The 27,819-nt window shown below is 50.6% G+C and overlaps 1 protein-coding gene across 4 annotated transcripts, besides 4 other annotated features; it reads left to right on the top strand.

The window, feature by feature from the left end:
- Positions 594 to 983: an enhancer, noted in NCBI's record as "active region_9284". NCBI's record gives its function as "activates an Ori minimal core promoter by ATAC-STARR-seq in GM12878 lymphoblastoid cells {active_cell/tissue: GM12878}" and the evidence as "EXISTENCE:reporter gene assay evidence [ECO:0000049][PMID:35858748]".
- Positions 594 to 1,498: a biological region, named in NCBI's record as "H3K27ac-H3K4me1 hESC enhancer GRCh37_chr15:41835695-41836276".
- On the top strand, positions 738 to 27,819 carry RPAP1 (RNA polymerase II associated protein 1). Of its 4 annotated transcripts, none has more exons than NM_015540.4 (25): positions 738 to 776; positions 7,794 to 8,050; positions 8,346 to 8,494; positions 8,777 to 8,866; positions 9,363 to 9,483; positions 10,060 to 10,281; positions 13,793 to 13,972; positions 15,016 to 15,131; positions 15,427 to 15,525; positions 16,659 to 16,760; positions 16,968 to 17,135; positions 17,390 to 17,572; positions 17,694 to 17,828; positions 17,927 to 18,097; positions 19,847 to 20,004; positions 20,741 to 20,899; positions 21,023 to 21,224; positions 21,641 to 21,750; positions 22,035 to 22,230; positions 22,745 to 22,897; positions 23,115 to 23,257; positions 23,848 to 24,604; positions 26,813 to 26,989; positions 27,138 to 27,197; positions 27,304 to 27,819. In NM_015540.4, exons 2-25 carry the CDS (start codon positions 7,870 to 7,872, stop codon positions 27,451 to 27,453), a joined length of 4,182 nt encoding a protein of 1,393 aa, NP_056355.2. In that variant the 5' UTR covers positions 738 to 776; positions 7,794 to 7,869; the 3' UTR covers positions 27,454 to 27,819. The 4 variants fall into 4 exon arrangements, with proteins under 4 accessions (NP_056355.2, XP_005254354.1, XP_047288330.1 ...); XM_005254297.2 differs by having other exon boundaries at positions 738 to 1,082; XM_047432374.1 differs by lacking the exon at positions 13,793 to 13,972.
- Positions 917 to 1,498: an enhancer, noted in NCBI's record as "H3K27ac-H3K4me1 hESC enhancer chr15:41835695-41836276 (GRCh37/hg19 assembly coordinates)". NCBI's record gives its function as "activates a minimal SCP1, AML or CMV promoter by ChIP-STARR-seq in naive H9 embryonic stem cells {active_cell/tissue: H9 hESC(naive)}" and the evidence as "EXISTENCE:reporter gene assay evidence [ECO:0000049][PMID:30033119]".
- Positions 1,978 to 2,178: a silencer, noted in NCBI's record as "peak2307 fragment used in MPRA reporter construct". NCBI's record gives its function as "represses an SCP1 promoter by STARR-seq MPRAs in K562 erythroleukemia cells {active_cell/tissue: K562}" and the evidence as "EXISTENCE:reporter gene assay evidence [ECO:0000049][PMID:32103011]".

Here is a 27,819-nt window from a genome sequence, read left to right as displayed (position 1 = left end):
CAGTGTTCTTTCCTTGGGCCTTTTTCATGGTTACCTTCTAGCTCTTCCATAAACACATTCGTCACGTTGGGGTGTGTGTGTGTGTCCACGTTTCTGTGTGCTGCCGTGGGCGTGGGTGCTGGGATGTGGGATGTGGTAACACTGGCTGGTGAGTGCAGAGGGACGTCTGAGGAACGCTGTGTCCCTGCCAGGGGTGTCGTAAGTGCAGAAGGGGCTGTGCCTGCTGTACATCAGAAGCATGTGTGGGCCAGGCGCGGTGGCACATCCTGTAATCACAGCACTTTGGGGGGCCGAGGCGGGCGGATTACCTAAGGTCGGGAGTTCGAGACCAGCTTGGCCAACATGGTGAAACCCCGTCTCTACTAAAAATACAAAAATTAGCCAGACGTGGTGGCGGGCACCTGTAATCCCAGCTACTCGGGAGGCTGAGGCACAAGAATCGCTTGAGCCCGGGAGGCGGAGGTTGCAGTGAGCCGAGATTGCGCCACAGCACTCCAGCCTGTGCGACAGAGCAAGACTCTGTCTCAAAAAAAAAAAAAAAAAAAAAGGATGTGTGTTCTGGGTGATGGTATAGAGCTTACGTGGGGGTAATAAACCGCCAGCCGCGCAGCACCGCGCTCACCAGTCCGCTGCACTGAACAAGCAAAGCCCAGAATGCTCCGAGATAAGACCGGGAGAGGCGGGGCTGGGCTGCGGGGCGGAAGCTGGAATCTGGCGGCGGCGGAAACGCGATCTCTGCGGGGCAAGATGGCGGCGCCCAGACAGGCCTGGAGCACGTAGGTGGCGGGGCTGGAGGGACGGATTTCAGGTGATCTGGGAGGAGGACCCAGGGTAGCGTGTCCAGTTTCTTTGCTGGAACCTGCCTGCGGGCCTTTGGTCTGTAAGGGAGCAACTGTGGCCTCCTCTGTGCATAGATCTCGGGCACGGCCCTTCAACGGGCGGCGAAAGCTGCGACTCGATGATTCCTCATTGTAGAGTTGGGTGGTCCAGGAGGCTTAACTGGAGCCCTTGACCTGAGCGGTAAGGGCAGTCACGCGTCCCGACTCGGGATTGGATCCTGGCTCTGGAGGATAGGCTGCAATGTAAGAGCCCCAGAGACTCCTCAGAGGCCAACATAAACCCAGAGGTCCATTGTTAGGACTACTTTTTTTTACGAGTTACTCTTTAGGCATTACTCTTTAGGATTACAGGCGTGAGCCACCGCGCCCGGCCAACCCATTCTTATTCTATTAATAACTGAAAATGTTATCACTTCTAGCACTGATTGGTTCTGGACAAATCTGCGCTGGATTTGTGGGGAAACACACTGGTGGCTTTACTTAGGACTAAAATAATTGTTACTGAGGTTTATTTATATAAGTAACAGGCACTGGGCTAGGCGTTTTGCGTGTATAGTCATTTAAATCCTCACACATTTCCTATTATATAGGACCTGTTACTCACATTTTACAGTTGTGGAAATGGGACTTAAGACAGCATAGAGGCCGCGCACGGTGGCTCACGCCTGTAATCCCAGCACTTTGGGAGGCCGAGGCGGGCGGGTCACCTGAGATCAGGAGTTCGAGACCAGTCTGGCCAACATGGTGAAACCCCGTCTGTACTAAAAAAATACAAAAAATTAGCCGGGCGTGGTGGCAGGCGCCTGTAATCCCAGCTACTCGGGAGCCTGAGGCAGGAGAATCACTTGAACCCAGGAGGCGGAGGTTGCAGTGTGCCGAGATCGTGCTATTGCACTCCAGCCTGGGCAACAAGAGGGAGAATCTGTCTCAAAAAAAAAAAAAAAAAAAAAAAAAGGACAGCATTGATAATTTGCCTAATTTCGCACATTTAGTGCATTTAGTAAGTAGCGGAACTGGTATTTGACTTCTGGCCTATTGATTCCAAAACTGGTGCCCATAACCCCCTGGCTCTCTTTGTGATGTAGGTATGGCGCACCCTATGAAGTGAGCTGGACTTTGCTTTTGGATCACATGAATCCATGGATAAGTAGGAATTGTTTCTGCTTATGTAGACTCTTATAGGAGTGAATTGTTACCATACTATGGATTCTCAGTTCATCTAGTTCAGCCTTCCTTAGGGCCTTTGGGTAGGCATTGGGGTAGGAGACTTTTTCCTTGTTTGTTGGTCAGACTGCCCAACAATTAGATATGGTTATCTGCCCTTTGGCTATATAAATAATAAGAATCATAACTGGCGTTTGTGTCCTTTCATGTATGAGACTCTGTTCTAATCTTCTTACATATATATAATTAATTCAGGAGGTAGGTACAGTTATCTTCATGTTACAGATGAGGAAACAAGCACAGTAACTTCAGTAAAATACCTTGCTTAAGCTTACACAGTTAGTAAATGGCAGAGCCTGGATTTGAACACAGGCAGTCCATTTTCATACTGTTTACCTCCCATCCAGGAAAAGGCACATCTGTATACTTCGCTGTTGTCATGCTACAAATAGTAATTAATACAAGTTCTATGCCAAATTTAAGATGAAATTTTGTAGACAGGTCTTTGCTCACTTCATCCACTTCCTTCAGTTCTCTACTTATCTAAGTTTTCTCTTTCAATATTGACCTCTATTTTTAACCTTTAGGGATTTTTCCCACCTCTGAAATCGTGTAGCACTGATCTTCTATGCAATTAATTTCATCACTGGGATGTACTGCCTTGTAAATTTATATGTGTGTTTACCATATTCTCTCACCCCAACTTTGGGTACATCATTGACCAAAGGAAGACCTTTACAATCTTGGAGACATCATTTAAACTGTAAACCTTTGGAATTTCTAGACTTGTGTGGGCAAAGAGAGATAATGAAGTGGGAAATTATTAAAAGACCCAGCATTTCGGCATGGTCTCTGTCTCCCCAGTAAGCCCCTTGAACCCAGGGACTGGATTTTACTCCCATTTCTTTATATTTACAGCCCCTTGTACACCGCTCAGCCCAGAGTAAACTCTCAAAAAATTTTTTGATAATGTTCTTAAGGTCACACCGTCATGTGATTGTTTCACCATTTCTACCCCTTTAGCCTGCCCCCAACCCCTGTGTTGGGAGGTGTTTCCAAGGCTGGCTTAGTTATTAGATCTGATCCTGCTTAGAAGTAGATGAAGAAAAAGTAAGGAAATGTGTCATTCAGCACTTTTTTTTTGAGACAGAGTCTCATGCTCTGTCCCCCAGGCTGGAGTGCAGTGGCACGATCTTGGCTCATTGCAACCTCCACTTCCCGGGTTCACGCCATTCTCCTGCCTCAGCCTCCCCAGTAGCTGGGACTACAGGCGCGTGCTACCACACCCAGCTAATTTTTTGTATTTTTAGTAGAGACGGCATTTCACCGTGTTAGCCAGGATGGTCTCGATCTTCTGACCTCGTGATCTGCCTGCCTTGGCCTCCCAAAGTGCTGGGATTACAGGCGTGAGCCAGCACACCCGGCCTTCATTCAGCACTATTGTTAGTTCCAGCTATCTAGCTTGTCTACCTCTCCATCTCATCCTCCTTCAACTTTTAGGAGGTGGTCAACTTCATCATGTTCTCCCATGTACCATATTTATTCCCTGCTTTTTTTTTTTTTTTTTTCAAGATGGAGTCTAGCTCTGTCACCCAAGCTGGAGGGCAGTGGTGTAATCTTGGCTCACTGCAACCTCCACCTCCTGGGTTCAAACCGTTCTCCTGCCTCAGCCTCCCAAGTAGCTGGGAGTACAGGCACATGCCACCACGCCTGCCTAATTTTTTTGTATTTTTAGTAGAGATGGGGTTTCACCATGTTGGCCAAGCTGGTCTTGAACTCCTGACCTCAGATGATCCACCCACCTCAGCCTCAAAGTGCTGGGATTACAGGTGTGAGCCACTGCGCCCGGCCCTATTCCCTGCTTCTATACCTTTGCCCAGCTCTCCCTTCTGGCTGGAGGCCTATCTTATCCTTCAAGGTCTGGTTCAGTGGTTTTCAACTGGGGGTGATTTTTTTCTGAGGTGACATTTGGCAATGTCTGCAGACATTTTTACTTGTCACAACTAGGGGAGGAGGTTTGATGATGACGTCTAGTGGGTAAAAGCCAGGAATGCCGCTAAACATCCTACAGTGCGCAGGACAGCTTCCCACAGCAAAGAATTACCCAGCTATAAAGATCAATAGTCCCTATTGAGAAACCTTAGTGTAGTTGCAGCCTTTGCTCTTCAGGAGATTCTTTATAGTTCTTCCCCATCTGCCTCACTATTCCAGACTTCCAGGACACCCAGGCACCACACAGCAGTAGGCAGTAGAACATAGTGGGTAAGAGCATGGACTGACTGGGATTGAATCCTAATCCTAGCACACACTTACACTGAGACCTTGAGCAAATACTTAACTTCTCAGCACTATTCTTTTCTCAGCTGTAAAATTTGAATAATAGTAGTAACTGGCCCGTTGCAGTGGCTCACGCCTGTAATCCCAGCACTTTGGGAGGCAGAGGCGGGCAGATCACCTGAGGTCGGGAGTTCGAGACCAGCCTGACCAACATGGAGAAACCCAGTCTCTACTAAAAATACAAAATTAGCTGGGCGTGGTGGCACATGCCTATAATCCCAGCTACTAGGGAGACTGAGGCAGGAGAATCGCTTGAACCTGGGAGGCGGAGGTTGCAGTGAGCCGAGATCGTGCCATTGCACTCCAGCCTGGGCAACAAGAGTGAAACTCCATCTCAAAAAAAAAAAAAATAGTAGTAACCTACCTCCTAGGCTGTTATGAGGATTAAATGAATGAATATGGAAAAAGTGCTTAGAGAACAGTATGTGGTGCATACTAAGTGCTCAATAAGTGTTAGATATAACAATATTTTTATTATTATCAGCATCTAGCTCAGGGGTTCCAAAACTAGCCAGCCAGCTTGCAGATATCTTTGGCCAGCCCAGCGTTTTTTGTTTTATAATTGATTTATAGTTTATATACCACAGAAGTCATCATTTTATTTTATTATTATTATTTTTTTGAGACGGAGTCTCACTCTGTCGCCCAGGCTGGAGTGCAGTGGTACGATCTTGGCTCACTGCAGCCTCCGCCTCCCAGGTTCAAGTGATTCTTCTGCCTCAGCCTCCTGAGTAGCTAGGATTACAGGCACCTGCCACCACACCCGGCTAATTTTTTTTGTATTTTTAGTAGAGACTTCACCATGTTGGTCAGGCTGGTTTGAACTCCTGACCTCGTGAGCCACCTGTCTCAGCCTCCCAAAGTGCTGGGATTACTGATGTGAGCCACCGAGCCTGGCCAGAATTCATCATTTTAAAAGTTTACAGGCCAGGTGCAGTAGCTCAGGCCTGTAATCCCAGTACTTTGGGAGCCCAAGGTGGGCAGATTTCTTGAGCCCAGGAGATCGAGACCAGCCTGTACAACATGGTGAAATCCTGTCTCTGTAAAAAACACAAAAATTGTGGGGCACGGTGGCTCACGCCTGTAATCCCAGCACTTTGGGAGGCCAAGGCAGGTGGATCATGAGGTCAGGAGTTCGAGATCAGCCTGACCAACATGGTGAAACCCTGTCTCTACTGAAAAACTACAAAAAATTAGCCAGGCATGGTGGTGGGCGCCTGTAATCCCAGCTACTCAGGAGGCTGAGGCAGGAGAATCACTTGAACCTAGGAGTCAGAGGTTGCAGTGAGCCGAGATCGCGCCATTGCACGCCAGCCTGGGCAACAAGAGCAAAACTCCGTCTCAAAAAACAAAAAACAAAAAACAAAAAAAAAAACAAAAATTAGCTGAGTGTGGTGGTGCATCTGTAGTCCTAGCTTTTTGGGAGACTGAGGTGGGAGGACGGCTTAAGCCCAGGAGGTAGAGGTTGCAGTGAGCCAAGATCACGCTACTGCACTCCAGCCTGGGTGACAGAGCCAGACTCTGTCACAATAAATTAATAAAGTTTACAATTCATGGCTTTTAGTATATTCACAAGGTTGAACATTTTCATTACTCCAAAAAGACGCTCCATACCCATTAGCTGTCAATTCCCATTTCCCTCCAGCTCTCCTAGCCCCTGGCAACTACTAATCTACTTTCTGTCTCTATGGATTTGCCTATTTTGGACATTCCATATGAACAGAATCATACAATATGAGGTCCTTTTTGGCTAGCTTCTTTCTTTCTTTTCACTAAATAAAATGTTTCTGAGTCATATAGCTTCTTTCACTTAGTATAATGTTTTCAATGTTTGTGCATTGGAACTTCATTCCTTTTTGTTGACAAATAAATGTAAGGTCTCTATGTTAATTTCTTTTTTGCCTTTGTGCCATGGTTACGTAAAGTCTTAACCTTTGGAGAAACTGGGTGAAGACTACATATGGAAACTGTTCATACTATCTATATAAATCTGTAAATCTAACATTATAACAAATCACAAGTTTAAAAAGTACATAAATTTACAGTATATAGAGAAAAATAGAAATATGCATATTTTATCATGATACAAAACATTTGATTGCTGACCTGTTTGTTGATTTTTTTTGTTTTTTCTTTCCTTTTTTATCCTCTAAGCCTCTGATCACTTATCATTGTCAAGGTTGAGCAGACAGAGAAGTGCATACATTCTGCAGCTTGAGTGCCTAACTTGAGATTCTGTTTCTGACATTTACTGTGGATTTGGGGCAATTAAATTAACTTTCTGTGTCAAGTGGGAGGATCACCCAAGCCCAGGAGTTTGAGGCTGTAGTAAGCTATGATAGCAGACTGCACTCCAACCTAGGTGACAGAGTGAGATCCTGTCTGTTTTTTGTTTTGTTTTGTTTTGTTTTTTTGACAGAGTCTCACTCTGTCGCCCAAGCTGGAGTGCAGTGGCTCCATCTCAGATCACTGCAAGCTCCGCCTCCCGGGTTCACGCCATTCTCCTGCCTCAGCCTCCCGAGTAGCTGGGAATACAGGTGCCCGCCACCACGCCCGGCTAGTTTTTTATATTTTTAGTAGAGACGGGGTTTCACCGTGTTAACCAGGATGGTCTTGATCTCCTGACCTCATAATCCACACGCCTTGGCCTCCCAAAGTGCTGGGATTACAGGCGTGAGCCACCGCATCCGGCCAATGCAATTGTTTTCTTAATTCCATTTTCTGCATGTTCTTTGCTAGTGCATAGACATACAATTTTTTTTTTTTTTTTTGAGACGGAGTTTTACTCTTGTTGCCCAGGCTGGAGTGCAATGGTGCAATCTCGGCTCACAGCAACCTCCATCTCCCAGGTTCAAGCGATTCTCCTGTCTCAGCCTCCCAGGTAGCTGGGATTACAGGCGCCCACCACAATGCCCAGCTAATTTTTTGTATTTTTAGTAGAGATGGGGTTTCACCATGTTGGCCAGGCTGGTCTTGAACTCCTGGCCTCAGGTGACCCACCCTCCTCGGCCTTACAAAATGCTGGGATTACGGGCGTGAGCCACTGCGCCTGGCCACAAATGTTTTTTATATTGATATTTTACAGCCCAAGGTTTTTAATAATTTACATACCTTTAGGCCAAGCATGTTCTCTCCAGTTTGATACAGAATCATCACCCCCCCATTATGACAACATTTATCTGCTCGGCCCCTGATGACATTTTCCTCAGGTCTCCTGCTGGTTGTTCCTGAGAGTTTTATCACCTATAGATTGTAAACAACCTAAGTTGGCTATAAATATTGTTGCTAGGCTGATGACATCAGGGAGGGCTGAAGACAGAGGGAATGGCAGTAAGGTATGAATGAGGAGGAATGAGTTCATGTTAACCCAAGGATAAAGAAGATCTTCGCTGTTGCCCAATAAAGAGAATCAGGGTTCAGTTGCAGAGGGCCCATATTCTTTCTTGCTCTTAGGGATGAATAAGAGGGAACCCCCACACGGAGACACTGCTGGAGAGAGTCGTACTGGGGAGGCAGCTGGAGCAGCAAGATGCTGTCGAGACCGAAGCCAGGGGAGTCCGAGGTGGACCTGCTGCACTTCCAGAGTCAGTTTCTCGCAGCTGGTGCAGCCCCAGCAGTGCAGTTGGTGAAGAAAGGAAATAGGGGCGGTGGTGATGCCAACTCAGACCGGCCTCCGCTCCAGGACCATCGGGATGTGGTGATGTTGGACAGTGAGTTCCCATGGATGTGAGGCTGAGAAGTAGAGAGGGTACAGCCTCGGGCCCCTCCCTCTTCCTGTTGTGGTTGGATTCAGACACATCATTATTATTTCAGACACTGCATAGCCTGTGTTTCTGCAGCCCCATTTTACAGAGGAAGAAAATGAGGCTCAAAGAGGTTAAATATCTTACCCAAGATGACACAGCTTGAGCCAGGGCCCCATGGCAGCTGTCTTTCTTCCCTAGCCTGCAGTGTCTTCCTAGGAAGGTGTGCATATACTCACGTTTGGGATCTTTTCTTTCTCAGATCTCCCAGATTTGCCCCCAGCTTTGGTCCCTTCTCCTCCAAAGAGAGCCAGGCCCAGCCCTGGCCACTGCCTGCCTGAGGATGAGGACCCAGAAGAGAGGCTGAGGAGGCATGATCAGCACATCACTGCTGTCTTGACTAAGATTATTGTGCGTCTCACTCTGGCTGAGTAGGATAAGATGTTCTAGGGCAACAGGGATATTGGATGCTCGGGGTGGGTGAGGCTTATCAGTGGAGGGTGCTTCAGAAAGGTAGACTTTTACCCCTGAGGTCAGGTTGGGGGCTGGGTTAGAATCACTGCCCTGAAGGGAGGAGGGTCCGTAACCCCCCAGAGTGAGGTTCTCATCGTTCAGAACTGGGCTAATAGGATCGGGTCCAGCCTGGGGAAGTTTCTCCATTGTGCTTCACAACTTTGTGCTTTGTTGCTACAGGAACGAGATACAAGTTCAGTGGCCGTGAATCTGCCTGTGCCCAGTGGTGTTGCTTTCCCTGCTGTGTTCCTTCGCTCGCGGGACACACAGGTAGGCAAGGGTAAGCTTAGGTGGTGCTCAGGAGACAGACAGGTGAGTCTCATAGTGCATCTTCTCCAGGCAGGTAGTTTTAATGATGATAAGCAATTTAATTTACAAAGCAGGATCATACTAAGCACTTCATACCCATTACTTCTTTTAATCTTCATAACAAACATATAAGGCAGGTATCATGATGATACCTTGGGGATGAGGAGTCCTTATTCCCATTTTTCATATGAGGAAACTGAGACCCCAAAGAGATAAATAACTTGTCCAACACCACACATCTAATAGGTAGAAGAGCCAGAACTTCAACCCAAGTCTGTCAGAGTCTAAGACCTTTACTCTTATAGACCTCTCCTTTTTCTGAGAACTAGGGTTGTGATCCCTGGAAATTGAGCAAATCCCCTTTTATCTCTTTGTTCCAGAGGCCTTGATATAAAGAGGTTGAGAGGAAAGTGGGATGATGAGCATCAGTAACCTGGGTTTTCTTTTTGCCCCACAGGGGAAATCAGCAACATCTGGTAAGAGAAGCATCTTTGCCCAGGAAATTGCGGCAAGGAGGATAGCTGAAGCCAAGGGCCCATCAGTTGGGGAAGTTGTGCCCAACGTGGGCCCACCAGAGGGTGAGCCGGGGTTGAAGAGGATTGGGCTTGGCCTTTTTAAAAGACACAATCATAGGGTCATTTTTGAAGATATGTCTTCCTGCCTCAAATGAGAGGTGCATTTGAGCCATCTCAAGTAGTCTGAGAATACTAGGTATGGGAGGCTTGGGTCCATATCTGGGTCTCAGGTGCTGGGAGTGGGGCAGGCCATTATGCAGTCCTAAGAGAAAGGGAATAGGGCAGAAGTGTCTGGCAGAGACTGTAAAATAAATGTGTTGGCCAAGATCCCTTTAATGATGCAAATTATTAGCTTAACAGCTGGGAGCAGGCCCCTGGCTATAGATGCCTGCCTAGATATCTAAGAGGAGTCAGAAATTAGGATGTTTCTGAGGAAAACCTTTTCATATAAGTACTAGGGAAGCAGTGAGTGGAGAAGCCACCTGGAGTCCCTGTGCCAGACCCAGTGGGGTCTCCACTCTGAGGAAAGTTTGGGTCTATACCTGTCTCCAGGGCTAATAGCCTTATAGAAGAAGGCCAAAAAGCCCAGTTAGAGCCCTGGAGGACAGAGCAATGAATGTGATCATACCTTTCTTCCAGGTGCCGTGACCTGTGAGACACCCACTCCTAGGAACCAGGGCTGCCAGCTTCCTGGGAGCAGCCACAGCTTTCAGGGACCCAATCTGGTCACAGGGAAGGGGCTCAGGGATCAAGAAGCTGAGCAGGAAGCCCAGACTATCCATGAAGAGAACATAGCAAGACTGCAGGCCATGGCTCCTGAGGAGATCCTGCAGGAACAGCAGCGGTTGCTGGCCCAGCTTGGTATGGGTGCCTGGCTTTCCTGCTGAGACCAGGCTAGGAGAGGAATACCACTTATTGAGCTAGGCTTACTGTGAGTTCCGGGCACTGTGCTGAGTACTTTAATGCTTTTTTTTTTTTTTTTTTTTTTTTTGAGATGGTCTTGCTCTGTCACCCAGGCTGGAATGCAGTGGCACGATCTCGGCTCACTGCAACCTCCACCTTCACGGCTCAAGCAATCCTCCCACTTCAGCCTCCTGTGTAGCTGGGATTATAGGCACACACCACCACACTCAGCTAATTTTTTTTTTTTTTTGGGGGGACAGAGTTTCACTCTTGTTGCCTAGGCTGGAATGCAATAGCACAATCTCGGCTCACCACAACCTCCGCCTCCCGGGTTCAAGAGATTCTCCTACCTCAGTCTCTCGAGTAGCTGGAATTACACGCATCTGCCACCACGCCCAGCTAATTTTTTTATTTTTAGTAGAGGTAGGGTTTCTCCATGTTGGTCAGGCTGGTCTCGAACTCCCAACCTCAGGTGATCTGCCCTCCTCGGCCTCCCAAAGTGCTAGGATTACAAGCATGAGCCACCATGCCCGGCCTTTTTTTTTTTTTGAGATGGAGTTTCGGTCTTGTTGCCCAGGTTAGAGTGCAATGGCGCGACGTAGGCTCACTGCAACCTCCGCCTCCTGGGTTCAAATGATTCTCCTGCCTCAGCCTCCTGAGTATCTGGGATTACAGGTGCCCACCACCATACCCAACTAATTTTTGTATTTTTAGTAGAGACGGAGTTTCACCATGTTGGCCAGGCTGGTGTCGAACTCCTGACCTCAGGTGATCCACTGGCCTTGGCCTCCCAAAGTGCTGGAGCCACTGCGCCTAGGTTTTTTTTTTTTTTTAAGACGGATTTTTCCTCTTGTTGCCCAGGCTGGAGTGCAATGGCGCAATCTCTGCTCACTGCAACCTCTGCCTCCCAGGTTCAAGCAATTCTCCTGTCTCAGCCTCCAAAGTAGCTGGGATTACAGGCGCCTGCCACCATGCCTGGCTAATTTTTTTATTTTTTGTATTTTTAGTAGAGACGGGGTTTCCCTGTATTGGCCAGGCTGGTTTCGAACTCTTGACCTCAGGTGGATCAAAGTGCCTCCCAAAGTGCTGGGATTACAGGTGTGAGCCACCGTGCCTGGCCCCCAGCGAATTTCTTTTAAGGTTTTTGTAGAGATGAGGTCTCACTATATTGCACAGGTTGGTTTTTGTTTTTTGTTTTTTGTTTTCAGAGTCTCCCTCTGTCACCCAGGCTGGAGTGGAATGGCACGATCTCGGCTCACTGCAACCTCTGCCTCCCAGGTTCAAGTGATTCTTGTGCCTCAGCCTTTTCAGCAGCTGGAATTAGAGGTGTGTACCACCATGCTTGGCTAATTTTTTTTATTTTCAGTAGAGATGGGGTCTCACCATGTTGGCCAGGCTAGTTTCGAACTCCTGGCATCAAGTGATCCACCGACCTCAGCCTCCCAAAGTGCTGGGATTACAGGCATGAGCCACCGTGCCTGACCTTTAATGCATTATTCAGTTCTGTCCTTAAACTTGTCCTGTGAGGTAGGTGGTATTAACCCTATTTTACTTATGAAAGAAACTGAGGCCTAAAATTTAAAAGAAATTCTACCCAGGTCACACACCTTATAAGAAGCACAGGACACAGGATTTAAACCCAGATCTACCTGGTCTCATATGCCCTGCTTTTTTTTTTTTTTTTTTTTTTTTTGAGACGGAGTCTCGCTCTGTTGTCCTGGGTGGAGTACAGTGACACGATCTCAGCTCACTGCAACCTGTACCTCCCTAGTTCAAGCGATTTTCCTGCCTCAGCCTCCTGAGTAGCTGGGATTACAGATGTGCACCACCACACCCAGCTAATTTTTTTGTATTTTTAGTAGAGATGGGTTTCACCATGTTGGCCAGGCTGGTCTTGAACTCCTGACCTCCAGCGACCCATCTGCCTCGGCCTGCTGAAGTGCTGCGATTTTTTTTTTGAGATGGTCACCGTGCCCAGCCGAGGCCCTACTTTTTAACCACTGTGCTATGTATAACTGTACTACCCTGGTATAGTATACACTATGCTTTATTATAGCTATACTCTAGTATATGTATAGTCTCTTCTACTCTGTGATACTGTTCTATGCTATGCCTCACCCCTAGTGTCTGTTCACCAAAATGCCAGGCACTCAGTCAATCTTGTTACCCACTGTATACTAGCACCTCTATAGAGTATAATACGTGTTAGGGCTCAGTATGGTGCCTTGCCCTGTAATTCCAGCACTTTGGGAGGTTGAGGTGAGAGGATTGCTTGAGGCCAAGAGTTTACGACCAGCTTGAGGAACATCATGAGACCCCATCTCTACAAAAAATAAAGATATAAAAAATTACAGCCAGGTGTGGAGGCTCACGCCTGTAATCCCAGCACTTTGGGAGGCTGAGGTGGGCGGATCACAAGATCAAGACATTGAGACCATCCTGGCCAACACGGTGAAACCCTGTCTCTACTAAAAATACAAAAATTAGCTGGGCGTGGTGGCACACGCCTGTAGTCCCAGCTACTCGGGAGGCTGAGGCAAGAAAATCACTTGAACCCGGGAGGCGGACCTTGCAGTGAGCCGAGATCGTGCCATGGCACTCCAGCCTGGGCGACAGAGTGAGACTCTGTCTCAAAAAAAAAAAAAAAAATTAGCCAGATATGGTGGTGCATGCCGGTAGTCCCAGTTACTTGGGAGGCTGAGGCGGGAGGATTGCTTGAGCCCAGGAGTTTGAGGCTGTGGTGAGCTACGATTGTGCCACTGCACTCCAGCATGGGTAACAGAGCAAGACCCTATCTCTTTAAAAATATATATTTACAGCCTGAGCAACATGGTAAAACCCCGTCTCTAGTAAAAATACAAAAATTAGCCAGGCGTGGTGGCAGGCACTTTTAATCCCAGCTACTCAGGAGGCTGAGGCAGGAGAATCCCTTGAACCTGGGAGATGGAGGTTGCAGTAAGTTGAGATTGCACCACTGCACTCCAGCCCGGGCGACACAGCGAGATTCCGTCTCAAAAAAAAAAAAAAAAAAAAAAAAAAAAAAATATATATATATATATATATATATATATGTGTGTGTGCATAAATAAATTAGCTAAGAGAAGGAAATTCTTTCTGTAAATGCCTTCTTTTTGGCCCTAGTCAACATTAACTTATTCATTCTACAGCCACTTACATTGGAACTGTGACCTGAAACCAAAGGGATAGGCATAGGAACCTGGGCCAGTGGACTGTGAGGGATAGAGGGAAAGGTGGGCAGGTGGGCAGGTGGGCCTAGTGACCCCACAGGTGTGAGAAGGCTGGGTCATTGATGGGCCACAGGAGCACCCAGAAGGCTCAGGCCCAGGCTCGGAAGCAGCTTGTCCTGTCCTTGGCACCCACAGACAGGCGATATTCAGCGGGTTCCAGGTCTGTAGGAGGCCAGGGAGGATCTACCCTCACTCACTCTCCCCTCTACCTTCGCCTCTAGACCCCAGCTTGGTTGCTTTCTTGAGATCTCACAGCCACACGCAAGAGCAAACAGGAGAGACAGCCTCTGAGGAGCAGAGGCCAGGAGGACCCTCTGCTAATGTCACCAAGGAGGAACCCCTCATGTCAGCTTTTGCCAGTGAGCCCAGGAAGAGAGACAAGCTGGAGCCAGAAGCCCCAGGTTTGCAGGAGGCGGGGGTCATATTTTGGTGGATAAAAGTAGGGGAAATTGTCCCTTTTCCTAGGCCTGGCAAATGAGAGAAGAGAGAAGCTTCTGTGCTTTTGGACATCTAACATTAATCCTCATTATTGGCTTCAAGTCAGTCTTCATTGCTGATGCATGTCTTCTTCCTGCACATGCTTCCTGTTTTCTTGTCCTGTTACTGCCCCTTCTCCGCCTTCCCTTTTAAGAGGCAGCAATGCGTGATGGCTGAATCCCACTCCACCCGCTCCCGGCAGACTATCTTCCTGTCCTTGCTGTAGCTGCCCCAGCTCTGGCTCTGTCCATCCCACTGTTCTTTCTCTCTCTGCTCACAGTGCTGGGGGAAAGATGGCAGGGCCAGAGTAATAAGAGAGGCAGAATCTGACAAAGATCTTATGAACATGCCAGACCAGAAGCAGAGAGGCCAGTGGAAGCACTCATTTCCCAGAAACTAGATTATTTCATTAGTGATTAACAAAATAAGAAATTGAATTATGAGAGCCAGGAACCTCATGCCCCCGGAGGAGCTCCAGGCCAGCTGAGCAGGTTGGGTGGGGGTAGGCGTGAAGGAGGAAAATGCTGTGGGATTTGTTTCTGTATCCTGCCCCCCAGGAGCAGTATAGTTGCCTCCTCCTCATTGTCCCCACTCTCCTACTCCTTTAAGGGCTGGTACTGGAAAGTGGAGATGGTGCCTTCCTGACATATGTGGTCCTCCTTCTTCATCTTTTTCTCCTTTCTTTCTCTTTCTTCCTTCTCCTTCTCCTCCTCTCTCCCCTCCCAACAAATCCTTGGGGTCAGCAAGGGGCTGGAGCCCAGGATGGAGTGTGTCTGTCATATTTGAGACTTTCACCCCAGCCCCAGGAGTTCCAGTCCCTGGGCCATGCCATTTAGCCATAACCGAGGGTAGAAGCTGGCAGATCCTGGAACAGAAGTGGATGTGGCAGCTGCTGGGTGATGGTGGGGACCCCTGTGGATAGTGAGCTGAGCCGTTTGGGTAATACTATCATGCTTTGTCTCCCCAGCTCTGGCATTGCCCGTGACCCCTCAGAAAGAATGGCTGCACATGGACACTGTCGAGCTGGAGAAGCTCCACTGGACCCAGGACTTGCCCCCTGTCCGGCGGCAGCAGACACAGGAGGTGAGGAGGGCCACCTGGCCTACAAGGGGTGGGTGAGATAGGGCAGGAGAGGAGCTGCTGCTCTTGCCCTCAGAACTCAGGCCTTTCTATTGCCCAGAGCCTGAGAAGCATCTCTCCTTTGCTCTCACCCACCTTTACCATCACTCTGCCTGGCCCCCAAGGCCAGATAAGCCCCATTTCTGGTAGAAGTAGAGTCAGTACCTAAGTCCTGAAAGGCCTGGGATTAAAGGTGGGGAGTGGGTGTGGGAAGGTTGCTGGAGCCCCCAGACCACAGTCCTCTTTCTCTTCCCATTAGAGGATGCAGGCTCGATTCAGTCTTCAGGGAGAACTACTGGCCCCTGACGTGGACCTGCCCACCCACCTGGGTCTGCACCACCATGGAGAGGAGGCAGAGGTGAGGCATGGGACTGGAGAGGATGGGGCAGCTCTTTTAACAACCCCATGGAAAAGGATCTCTGGTCAACTGCCTTTGACCTTCTGTGTGCCCTGTTCTAGTTCATGCCTTTGCTGTGCATTCAGTTTCTTTTTTTGGAGACAGAATCTCGCTCTGGCCCAGGCTGGAGTGCAGTGGTATGATCTTGGCTCACTGCAGCCTCCACCTCCTGGGTTCAAGCCATTCTCCTGCCTCAGCCTCCTGACTAGCTGGGATTACAGGCGCATGCCACCACGTCCAGCTAATTTTTGTATTTTTAGTAGAGACGGGGTTTCACCATGTTAGCCAGGATGGTCTTGATCTCCTGAGCTTGTGATCCGCCTGCCTCGGCCTCCCAAAGTGCTGGGATTACAGGCGTGGCATTCAGTTTCTTAGGCTCAAAATCTTGATCCTCTCTCCGTATTCTGGTCAGTTGCTAGAATTTGCCGATCTTCTGTCACCTCCTCATGATGCCTCCTGCACTGTGGCCTTGCTTCCTTGGTCTGCTCACTCTCCATGCCCTCCATTCTCCGCCCCCCTGCCATTCCATGTCTCTCGGGGCTGCTGTGCTGATTTCTTCTGGCCCAGCTCAGGCCATGCCTTGCCTCCAGAAGTTTCCCAGCTTCCCTCTGCTCACAAAATAAGGTTCTGGTCTCAGCTGGGCAAGATATTCCTTCTACCTTTTGTCCCTGCTGACCCTGCTGCTCTGCCTCCTTCACTTCCTGCTACACCACTCTGCTGGCTTCTCCCCACATACCTCCTGTGCTCAGGGCCCTCCAGGACTCCACTCGCTCCAGGAAATGCCTTTGCCTTTTGCTCCATGTCAGGCCATCAAAGCTCTACCCATCCACTGAGACCAATTTAATTTTCCAGGTTCCCTTCTCTCTCTCTCCTGTCCGCCGGTCGCAAATTAAACATCAGTTATCACGTTCCTCTGCATCTGCCTCATGGCATGGTTACTTGTATGCAAGTCTTATCTTTACCGGCTTGAGGCTCCATGGAAAGCAGGGCAGATTTCACTTATTTATCTTTGTCTTTCCTGTGATACCTTGCTTGGTGTTTTGGGGGCACTGTGCTGTATCCTGGCTGCTTCTGACTTCTTGTCCCTGCCCCAGAGAGCGGGGTATTCCCTACAGGAGCTGTTCCACCTGACCCGCAGCCAGGTTTCCCAGCAGAGAGCACTGGCACTGCATGTGTTAGCCCAGGTCATCAGCAGGGTGAGTGGATTGCCAGCCTGGTCCTGCCCACCCTTCCCTTCACCCCACAGCCTCAGACTTCCCCATCTCCTGCCCTTTTCACTCTGGCTCACTAGCCAGCTATGTGCTTTTAACAACCTAGGATCATAGGGGGGCAAACGAAGGATTAGGGCAAAGCCTCTAGATAACTTCAGCATCTTCAGCAAGGTTTTACCCTCCTGCCCTCAGGCCCAGGCTGGTGAGTTTGGGGACCGGCTAGCAGGCAGTGTCTTAAGCCTCCTTTTGGATGCTGGTTTCCTCTTCCTACTGCGCTTCTCCTTGGATGACAGAGTGGATGGGGTCATTGCAACCGCCATCCGTGCTCTTCGGGCTCTGCTGGTGGCTCCTGGAGATGAGGTACCACAGGGATAGGAATGGGGCTTGGGCTGGGAGGTGCCAGGGTCCATATTCCTGTTCCTGGGCATGGCCCCATTGCTAAGGCTTTGCGGGCAAGATGTAGAATGGGATGGCAGGCGTCTCCCTCATCTCCTAAAGTCCCTAAAGCCCAGGAGGCTTGCCTTTATGGTTTTTATTGGGGAGCATCCTCTCTACTCCTGGATCCATTTCCTGGCCCCTTCAGCATTGCCCCCCAACTCCCGTTCCTCTGGCAGGAGCTCCTCGACAGCACCTTCTCTTGGTACCATGGAGCTTTGACGTTCCCTCTGATGCCCAGCCAGGAGGACAAGGAGGATGAGGACGAGGATGAAGAATGCCCAGCAGGAAAAGCAAAAAGGAAAAGCCCTGAAGAAGAAAGCCGGCCTCCACCTGACCTGGCCCGACATGATGTCATCAAGGTAAAGGGACAGCTTCTTTCCCATCCCATGGCCCAGGGGACAAGCACATGCTGGAAAGAGGGGCCATCAATGCCCAGGGTCCAGCTGCATTTGTCAGTGGGTTTCTCTCTCCAACTCCCAGGGGCTCCTGGCTACCAGCCTGCTGCCTCGGCTGCGCTACGTGCTGGAGGTGACATACCCAGGACCTGCGGTGGTCCTTGACATCCTGGCTGTGCTCATCCGCCTGGCCCGGCATTCCCTGGAATCAGCCACAAGGGTGAGAAAAAAGGGAGCAGGGAATGGGCAAAAAGCCTAGCTGGGCCTTGTCTTGACCCACAGCCTCCCTTCCTCCCTTTTACCTCCTGTCTCCCATAGGTCCTGGAGTGCCCTCGGCTGATAGAGACTATAGTTCGAGAGTTCTTGCCCACCAGTTGGTCTCCTGTGGGGGCAGGGCCTACCCCTAGTCTATACAAAGTACCCTGTGCTACTGCCATGAAACTACTTCGTGTCCTGGCCTCAGCTGGGAGGAATATTGCTGCCCGGCTGGTGAGCAGGACACAGGGCAAGGGATGGGGGAATGCATGGGACAGGGTTGGGTTGGGAGCTAAACATGGCTCCTGAACTCTGGGTGGCCAGCTCTTGCCATCTTCTTCCTCTCTGATCCAGTTGCTTAGAAATGCAACAGAAATCACCAGGCATGAACCTGTTTACTGGAGCCTGTTTACTGGAGCCTGGTGCATCATATAGGTATACTGTGGTCTCATGATGTAATAGGAGGTCTCCCTGTTCCCTAGACCCAGATCAGAAGGGCTTCATGCACATAGGCATTCATCATCTATAGCCAAGTAGCCCTAGAGAAGGTGCCCAGCAAGCCTTGCTATAAAGAGGGAGGGCTGGGTGTAGTGGCTCAGGCCTGTAATCCCAGCACTTTGGGAGGCCAAGGCAGGAGGATCACTTGGGGCCAAGAGTTCAGGGGCCAGCCTGGACAACATAGCAAGACTCTGTCTCTACAAAAAACAAAAACAAAAAATTAGCTAGATGTGGTAGCACATGACTGTAGTCTCAGCTACTCGGTAGGCTGAGGTAGAAGGATCACTTGAGCTGGGAGGTGGAGGCTGCAGTGGGCTGGTTGCACCAATCACTGCACTACAGCCTAGGCAACAGGGCGAGACCCCGTCTCAAAAATACTACTACTGGCCAGGTGCAGTGGCTCACGCCTGTAATCACAACACTTTGGGAGACCGAGGTGGTGGATCACTTGAGGTCAGGAGTTCGAGACCAGCCTGGCCAATATGGCAAAACCCCACCTCTACTAAAACTACAAAAATTAGCCAGGTATAATAGTGTGCGCCTGTAGTCCCAGCTACTTGGGAGGCTGAGGCAGGAGAATTGCTTGAACCCGGGAGATGGAGGGTGGAGTGAGCCAAGATCACACCACTGCATTCCAGCCTGGGTGGCAGAGCAAGATTCCATCTAAAAACAAATAATAGGGCCGGGCGCGGTGGCTCACACCTGTAATCCCAGCACTTTGGGAGGCCAAGGCAGGTGGATCATGAGGTCAGGAGTTCAAGACCAGCCTGACCAAGATGGTGAAACCCTGTCTCTACTAAAAATACAAAAAATTAGCCAGGCGTGGTGGCATGCGCCTGTAATCCCGGCTACTCCAGAGGCTGAGGCAGAGAATTGCTTAAACCTGGAGGGGCAGAGATTGCAGTGAGCCGAGATTGCGCCACTGCACTCCAGCCTGGGCGACAGAGCGAGACTCCATCTAAAAAAATAATAATAATAAAAATAAAAAAATAATAGGGGCTGGGTGCGGTGGCTCACACCTGTAATCCCAACGTTTTGGAAGGCCGAGGTGGGTGAATCACGAGGTCAGCAGTTCGACACCAGCCTGGCCAACATAATGAAACCCCGTCTCTACTAAAAATACAAAAATTAGTCGGGCATGGTGGCGCATGCCTGTAGTCCCAGCTACTTGGGAGGCTGAGGCAGGAGAGTCTCTTGAACCTGGGAGACAGAAGTTGTGGTGAGCCAAGATCACTCCACTGCACTCCAGCCAGGGCAACAGAGCAAGACTCCATCTCAAAATAATAATAAATAATAAAAAGTAAAATAATAAAATTGAAATTTTAAATAAATAATAAGAAGGAAGGGCAGGGTGGATGAGGTATGACTTTGTGGCACCAGAGGGGCCTGGGTCAGGGTTGAGTTAAGCCACTCTCTGTCCAGCTGAGAGTAGCTGGACTTGAGACTCACAGCTGACCCTGATCCTCAGACTGTGCCCATTTCCAGTTGAGCAGCTTTGATCTCCGGAGCCGCCTGTGCCGCATCATAGCTGAGGCTCCCCAAGAACTGGCCTTGCCCCCAGAGGAAGCTGAGATGCTGAGCACCGAGGCCCTCCGTCTGTGGGCTGTGGCTGCCTCCTATGGCCAGGGCGGTTACCTTTACAGGTGAGGAGAGGCAGGGGGTAGGCTCCCCCTAGACACCTTCAGTTCTGCTCTTCTGGCCAAATCAAACACCTCAGCCTTGCTCAAGGTCCCAAGCTTGGAGGAAGGATAAGAATGAGTGGGAGGGCTTCTGCCAGATGTGAAAAGGCTTAGGAGTCAGGCCCAGCCAGGGAAGAGGGGGATAAACCTGGCTTAACCGTATTCTATGCTCAAAATCATTAGCCGGGCACTGTGGCTCATGCCTGTAATCCCAGCACTTTGGGATGCCAAGGTAGGCGTATCACGAAGTCAGGAGTTCGAGACCATCCTGGCCAATATGGTGAAACCCCGTCTCTATTAAAAATACAAAAATTAGCCAGGCGTGGTGGCACACACCTGTAATCCCAACTACTCGGCAGGCTGAGGCAGGAGAACCGGTTTAACCTGGGAGGCAGAGGTTGCAGTGAGCCGAGATCACTCCATCACTCCACTGCACTCCAGCCTGGGCAACAGAGAATGTCTCAAAAAAAAAAAAAAAAAAGCATTGGTATCTGTGAAATCACATTTAAATTCCCTGTTGGGGGCAGCCTTGAAGGACAACATCCTTTCCATTCTTTAGGGCTGAGCCTTCCAAGAGTGCCCCACTCTTCCTCCTCATCCTCCTTTATCAAACTGCAGATCCCTGGGTCAGGGCCATGACCTGTGTCTCATGTCTCCACTTGCTTTCATACAGTGAAAATCAGTCCCTGTTCTTCCCTAGGGAGCTCTACCCAGTGCTGATGCGGGCCTTGCAGGTGGTGCCGCGGGAGCTCAGCACCCACCCACCTCAACCCCTGTCCATGCAGCGGATAGCCTCACTGCTCACTCTCCTCACCCAGCTAACCCTGGCAGCCGGCAGTACCCCTGCTGAAACCATCAGGTAGTTTATAGCCAGGACCCACAGGACAGGTGGAGGGCTCCTCCACAGGGCTGGGGTGGCTGGAGTGTAAAGGGGCGTGAGGCAGCCAGATCCTCACTGTGGCACCCTTTGGCACTTTTGTAGTGATTCTGCTGAGGCCAGCCTCTCGGCCACCCCTTCCTTAGTCACTTGGACACAGGTGTCTGGGCTCCAGCCTCTTGTTGAGCCGTGTCTAAGGCAGACCTTGAAGTTGCTGTCCAGACCTGAGATGTGGAGAGCCGTGGGCCCAGTGCCCGTTGCCTGCCTGTTGTTCCTGGGAGCCTACTACCAGGCCTGGAGCCAGCAAGTGAGTGCCTCCTGCCGGCTGTCCACCAGGCCCCCGCACCCTGCCTTCAGCTACATTCCACCCGTTGCTCCCTCTCTGTGTCCATCTCTCCACTCCTACTTCCCCATTTACTATCTTCCCTTTTAATTCCTACCCTTCCTCCTCTTTCTACCTCCATATCCCCGTGGAGCTTCCCAGGAGCCATGTTGGTGGGGACCAGAGAGCCCACGCAGCAGCTCAGCCTTCCTGTAGCCTGTGTGCTCCCTCTTTATGCCCCCTACACATCGGGGCCTTCTCTCCCTTCAGAAGGCTCAGCCTGCAGAAGCCTCCAAATGTGCTCTTTTGGGCTGTTGGGATGGTGGCATTGGCCTGGGTACACAGGGTCTAGGAGAATGAATGGCTGGGCCATCAGCTCAGTGAATTCCTTGGTCCACCAGCCAAGCTCATGCCCGGAGGATTGGCTCCAGGACATGCAGCGCCTGTCAGAGGAGCTGCTGCTGCCACTGCTGAGTCAGCCCACACTGGGCAGCCTGTGGGATTCCCTTAGGTATGTACTGTGTTTGGTAGCTGGGGGAAGCAGGGGAGGAGGCAATTTCTTTCCTTGTGGGATTCCTGGGTCCAGCTCCCAGGTCCATCCCAGGGTGCAGGCCCTCGGCCCGAGGGAAACCCGAGTCCCTAGCAGGCAGCAGTGGGGTGGGCTCTGAGGAGTGTGAGCAGCACTGACCTCCACAGCCAGGCCCCCCGTTAGTCTTAGGTACAGACCCAGAAGCTCTTTCCAGCTTGGCACACGCCAGGCCAGAGTCCCCCTCAGACTCTCCACTTCACCTACAGGCACTGCTCCCTTCTCTGCAACCCGCTGTCCTGTGTGCCAGCCCTTGAAGCTCCCCCCAGCCTCGTGTCACTGGGCTGCTCGGGAGGCTGCCCCCGTCTCAGTCTGGCTGGCTCAGCCTCACCCTTCCCATTCCTCACTGCCCTCCTCTCTCTTCTTAATACCCTGGCCCAGATCCACAAGGGGCTGTGTGGCCAGGTAAGTGTGGGGTGCCTGATTAGGGGCCAGGCAAGGGGCCAAGATGGCAGGAATCAGAAAGAAAGTGGGAGGGTGGGATGGGCGCGGTGGCTCACGCCTGTAATCCCAGCAGTTTGGGAGGCCGAGGTGGGCAGATCACCTGAGGTCGGGAGTTCGAGACCAGCCTGGCCAACATGGAGAAACCCCATCTCTACTAAAAATACAAAATTAGCCAGGCATGATGGCACATGCCTGTAATCCCAGCTACTCGGGAGGCTGAGGCAGGAGAATCACTTGAACCCGGGAGGCGGAGGCTGCGGTGAGCTGAGATCACACCATTGCACTGCAGCCTGGGCAACAAGAGCGAAACTCCATCTCAAAAAAAACCAAAAAGAAAGTGGGAGGGTGTCCCATGGGGAAGGGAGGCCTTCTGCTGGCACTCATTTCCCTGAGTCTGGAGAGGGGCAGCCACCTGGGGAGCCCTAGAAGGCATGAGAGTCAATTTCTAGATCTGAACAAAATTGCTTTTCCTCAGCTGGCTGCCATATTGGCTGCCCCGGGACTCCAGAATTACTTCCTCCAGTGTGTGGCTCCTGGGGCTGCCCCACACCTCACACCTTTCTCTGCATGGGCCCTGCGCCATGAGTACCACCTGCAGTACCTGGCACTCGCTCTGGCCCAGAAAGCGGTAGGTCCCCCTGTCTGACAGGTTCTCCTGTCATCCCATTATCTCCTTCCTGTTTCTGTGGAACCCAGCCTGCTTCTGCCAGGCCATGCAGCTCCCACTTTCCTCCAGACATGCCCTGGACCTCTGCCCTTCAGCCTCACTTTTATCCTCTTCCTCACTTCTCTCTGCCACGTCCCCTTCTCCTGTACTAGGTAGTTCCCTGCTTTTCTGTCTGCAGGCAGCGCTGCAGCCACTGCCAGCCACCCATGCTGCCCTCTATCATGGTATGGCCTTGGCCCTGCTGAGCCGGCTGCTGCCCGGAAGTGAGTACCTCACCCATGAGCTGCTGCTGAGCTGTGTATTCCGGCTGGAGTTCCTCCCGTAAGTGCTTGGTTGGTGGCATCAACTCAGCCCTTTTGGACGCTGCTGCAGTTGTTAACAGAGCAGCCCTGAATTTGGAGCCAGGAGACCTAAATTCTCTTTCTTCCACCGACGACACTTAACTCTTCCGAGCTTCCATTACCTCATTAGTGAAGTGAGGATCAGGCTAACCACACCCAAGAATGATTGTGAGACTTCAGTGTGACTGCATGGCTAAAAAAATGGTATCTAAATCAGTTACACACATGTAATAGCCATCCGCTACTGAGTGTTTACTCTGTGTTTGATACTCCCTTATGTATTTATCTACATTTTAAGTATTTTACTTGGACCATGAGATAGATACTATTATTATCCTTATTTTACTCTGAGGAAACTGAGGCCCAGAGAAGTTATGTAAACTCATGCCTAGGCAGCTGGCTGTAGTGTGCATCCTCTTAACTGCTACACAGCACTGCGCGGGAAGTAGTTAAGGGAGCAGAGAGGCACAGGTCTGGACCTAGGAGCCTCCAGGAAGTTCCAAAGAGCTGGCACAGCCTCCAAGTGCTGTGGTTCCAGCCCTCATTTTTGGCTTTTGGGTCCCATTACAGGGAAAGAACATCAGGGGGTCCAGAGGCAGCCGACTTCTCTGACCAGCTGTCGTTAGGAAGCAGCAGGGTCCCTCGGTGTGGGCAAGGGACTCTGCTGGCTCAGGCCTGCCAGGACCTCCCCAGCATCCGCAACTGCTACCTGACTCATTGCTCGCCAGCCCGAGCCAGTCTGCTGGCCTCCCAGGCTCTGCACCGAGGGGAGCTACAGCGAGTCCCAACCCTGCTACTGCCCATGCCTACGGAGCCGCTGCTGCCCACCGACTGGCCCTTCCTGCCACTGATTCGCCTCTACCACCGGGCTTCAGACACCCCCTCGGGACTCTCTCCCACAGACACCATGGGCACAGCCATGCGGGTCCTGCAGTGGGTGCTAGTTTTGGAGAGCTGGCGCCCCCAGGCTCTCTGGGCTGTGCCCCCTGCTGCCCGCCTGGCACGGCTCATGTGTGTGTTCCTGGTGGACAGTGAGCTGTTCCGGGAGTCCCCAGTACAGCATCTGGTGGCAGCCCTCCTCGCCCAGCTCTGTCAGCCTCAAGTCTTGCCAAACCTCAACCTGGACTGCCGACTCCCTGGCCTGACGTCTTTCCCTGACCTCTATGCCAACTTCCTGGATCATTTTGAGGCTGTCTCTTTTGGGGACCACCTCTTTGGGGCCCTGGTCCTCCTGCCCCTGCAGCGTCGGTTCAGTGTCACCTTGCGCCTTGCCCTCTTTGGGGAACACGTGGGAGCCTTGCGAGCTCTGAGCCTGCCTCTGACCCAGGTACTTTCTCAGCCCAGCAGGACCTGCAAGGGTACCCTGCACTGGGCCTCGGGGGCAGTCCTGAGCCTTGAGGAGCTTTGGAAGACCTCAGCTTCCTCATCTTACCTCTTGGGGGCTTTGAGGGGATTAAGAGAATCAATGAAAAGGGCTTAACATGGGCTGGGTGTGGTGGCTCACGCCTGTAATTCCATCACTCTGGGAAGCTGAGGTGGGTGGATCACTTAAGGTCAGGAGTTTGAGACCAGCCTGGGCAACATAGTGAAACCCCATTTCTACTAAAAATACAAAACTTAGCTGGGCGTGGTTGCGGGTGCCTGTAGTCCCAGCTACTCAGGAGGCTGAGGCAGGAGAATCGCTTGAACCCGGGAAGCGGAGGCTACAGTGAGCCGAGATCGCGCCACTGCACCCCAGCCCAGTGACAGAGCAAGACCCTGTCTCAAAAAAGAAAAAAGGAAAGGGTTTAACCTGGTGTCTGGCATATAGTGGGTATTCATTACTATTAATAAGGCATAGCTCCTTGCTTATCAGTGCTACAATCTAGATAAGAAGAGATTTACTGAAAACCTACATAGTTGTGAATTATTCAGATGCTAGGTGGTATCAGGATTCAGAGAAGGGAAAGATCAAATTGGGCTTTGTGGAAGAAGTGGGGATTGACCCAGGCACTGTAGGTTGGGTAGAATTTGAATTGGTGAGGAGGTAGAAAGGCAGGAGATTCCTAACAGAATAACATAAGCAAAAGGAGCATGACAAAGGGCAGAAGGAGGGAGGAGAGATTTCTGTTGGGAACTTAAGGCTAAAAATAAGAAGTGAAGTCTGAGAGGGCCTCAAATATTAGGCTAAGGACTTAAATTTATAAGCTGTAAAGAGTTACTATGTTTGCCAGGTGCGGTGGCTCATGCCTGTAATCCCAGCACTTTGGGAGGCCGAGGTGGGCGGATCATTTGAGGTCAAGAGTTTGAGACCAGCCTGGCCAACATGGTGAAACCGTCTCTACTAAAAAAAAATACAAAAAATTAGCCGGGTGTCGTGGTGCATGCCTGTAATCCCAGCTACTCCGGAGGCTGAGGCAGGAGAATCGCTTGAACCCAGGAGGCAGAGGTTGCCATGAGCCGAGATCATACCACTGCACTCCAGCCTGGGCAACAAGAGTGAAACTCCATCTCAAAAAAGAAAAATAAAAAAGAGTTACTGTGTTATGGCTGCGTGAGGTGGCTCATGCCTGTAATCCAACATTTTGGGAGGCCAAGGTGGGAGGATTGCTTGAGGCCAAGAGTTTCTGACCAGCTTGGGCAAGAAAGCTAGACACCATCTCTACAAAAAATTATTGGAAAATTAGCCAGACCTGGTGATTTGCCCGTAGACCCAGTTACTCAGGAGCCTGAGGCAGGAGGATCACTTGAGCTCAGGAGGTTGAGGCTGCCAGTGAGCTATGATCACACCACTGCATTCCAGACTTGGAAATAGAACGAGACTCTATTAAAAAAAGAAGTTATTGTATTTTGTTTTTTGTTTTTAAGATTTTGGGTTTTTGTTTTTGTTTTTGAGACAGAGTCTCGCTCTGTTGCTCAGGCTAGAGTGCAGTGGCCTGATGATCTTGGTTCACTGCAACCTCTAGCTCCCAGGTTCAAGCGATTCTCCTGCCTCAACCTCCTGAGTAGCTGGGATTACAGGCACACAGCACCATGCCTGGCTAATTTTTTTTTTTTTTTGAGACGGAGTCTTGCTCTGTTGCCCAGGCTGGAGTGCAGTGGCGCGCTCGGCTCACTGCAACCTCCGCCCCTGGGTTCAAGCGACTCCCCTGCTTCAGCCTCCCAAGTAGCTGGGACTACAAGCACCCACCACCATGTCCAGCTAATTTTTGTATTTTCGGTAGAGATGGGGTTTCACCATGTTGGCCAGGCTGGTCTTGAATTCCTAATTTCGTGTGATCCGCCTGCCTCAGCCTCCCAAGTGCTGAGATTACAGGCGTGGCCCACTACACATGGCCAATTTCATGCTTTTTAATGGCTGCTTCTCAGTTCCCAGTTTTCCCCAACATCTGCTCTGTAGTCTTTAACCCTGATCCTTGTGCTAGAAGGACAGATGTTTGTCTAGGACCTGATCTCTGCCCTCATGATTTGGTTTCATGTGATCGTTATCCACACACCTTATGTATGTATATACATTCCTACCCTCCCCCTCAGCACGTCATTTCCCCTGTCACAGTTGCCTGTGTCCCTGGAGTGTTACACAGTGCCTCCTGAAGACAACCTGGCCCTCCTTCAGCTCTACTTCCGGACCCTGGTTACTGGTGCGCTCCGCCCACGTTGGTGCCCCGTGCTCTATGCTGTGGCTGTGGCTCATGTCAATAGCTTCATCTTCTCTCAGGACCCACAGAGCTCAGTAAGTTACATCTCCATCTTCAGAGGAAGGAAGGGAGCTAGCAATTGAGCTGCCTCTGGGCCAGCTGGGGAAGAGGTAAGTGTCAAGCAAGGCCAGTGGTGGGTACCAGCCCTCGGCTCAGTGCCACCTCTCCCTGTTCTGCTTCTAGGATGAGGTCAAAGCTGCCCGCAGGAGTATGCTGCAGAAAACATGGCTGCTGGCAGATGAGGTAGGGTCAGGGCCATTAGGAGGGTGGGATATTAGAGGATCTTGGGGGACAGAGACCACAACAGGATCTCATTACCCACTTCATAAGTTTTCTTTCCTTTCTGCAGGGTCTCCGGCAGCACCTCCTGCACTATAAGCTTCCCAATTCCACGCTCCCAGAGGGCTTTGAGCTCTATTCTCAGTTGCCCCCTCTGCGTCAGCACTACCTCCAGAGACTGACTTCAACAGTGCTCCAAAATGGGGTATCAGAGACCTAGGATAGTTGATATAGATGGAAAGATGGGTACGTTGTCCTGTATCCAGCCTTTCAACAGATGTCTGGCCAGACGAAGAACATTGTGTCCTAATGGTAGGCAGGAGACCAAGGAGCAGAAGGCTTGCCTTCCTGGGAGCAGGTTGTTTGAGCTGTTTTAGAGCAGTGAGCCCTACCATTACATCCTGATATCTGGGGCTTCTGAAGGTCTGTACTGGGAGTGAAGAGTGGCTTAGCTATTTACCCGCTCTTTGGGGACAGGGCAAACTAAATGCATCCCTTCTTACCTAACTCCCAACCCCTGCCCTGGGCTGAGGCATATGAATGCTATAGTTGTGCATTAAAATAAATGTTTTTTATCTCCTGGAAA

This window comes from Homo sapiens, chromosome 15, assembly GCF_000001405.40.
Source record: "Homo sapiens chromosome 15, GRCh38.p14 Primary Assembly".
Lineage (NCBI taxonomy): Eukaryota > Metazoa > Chordata > Mammalia > Primates > Hominidae > Homo > Homo sapiens.
This window is presented reverse-complemented; position numbering and strand designations above follow the sequence as displayed.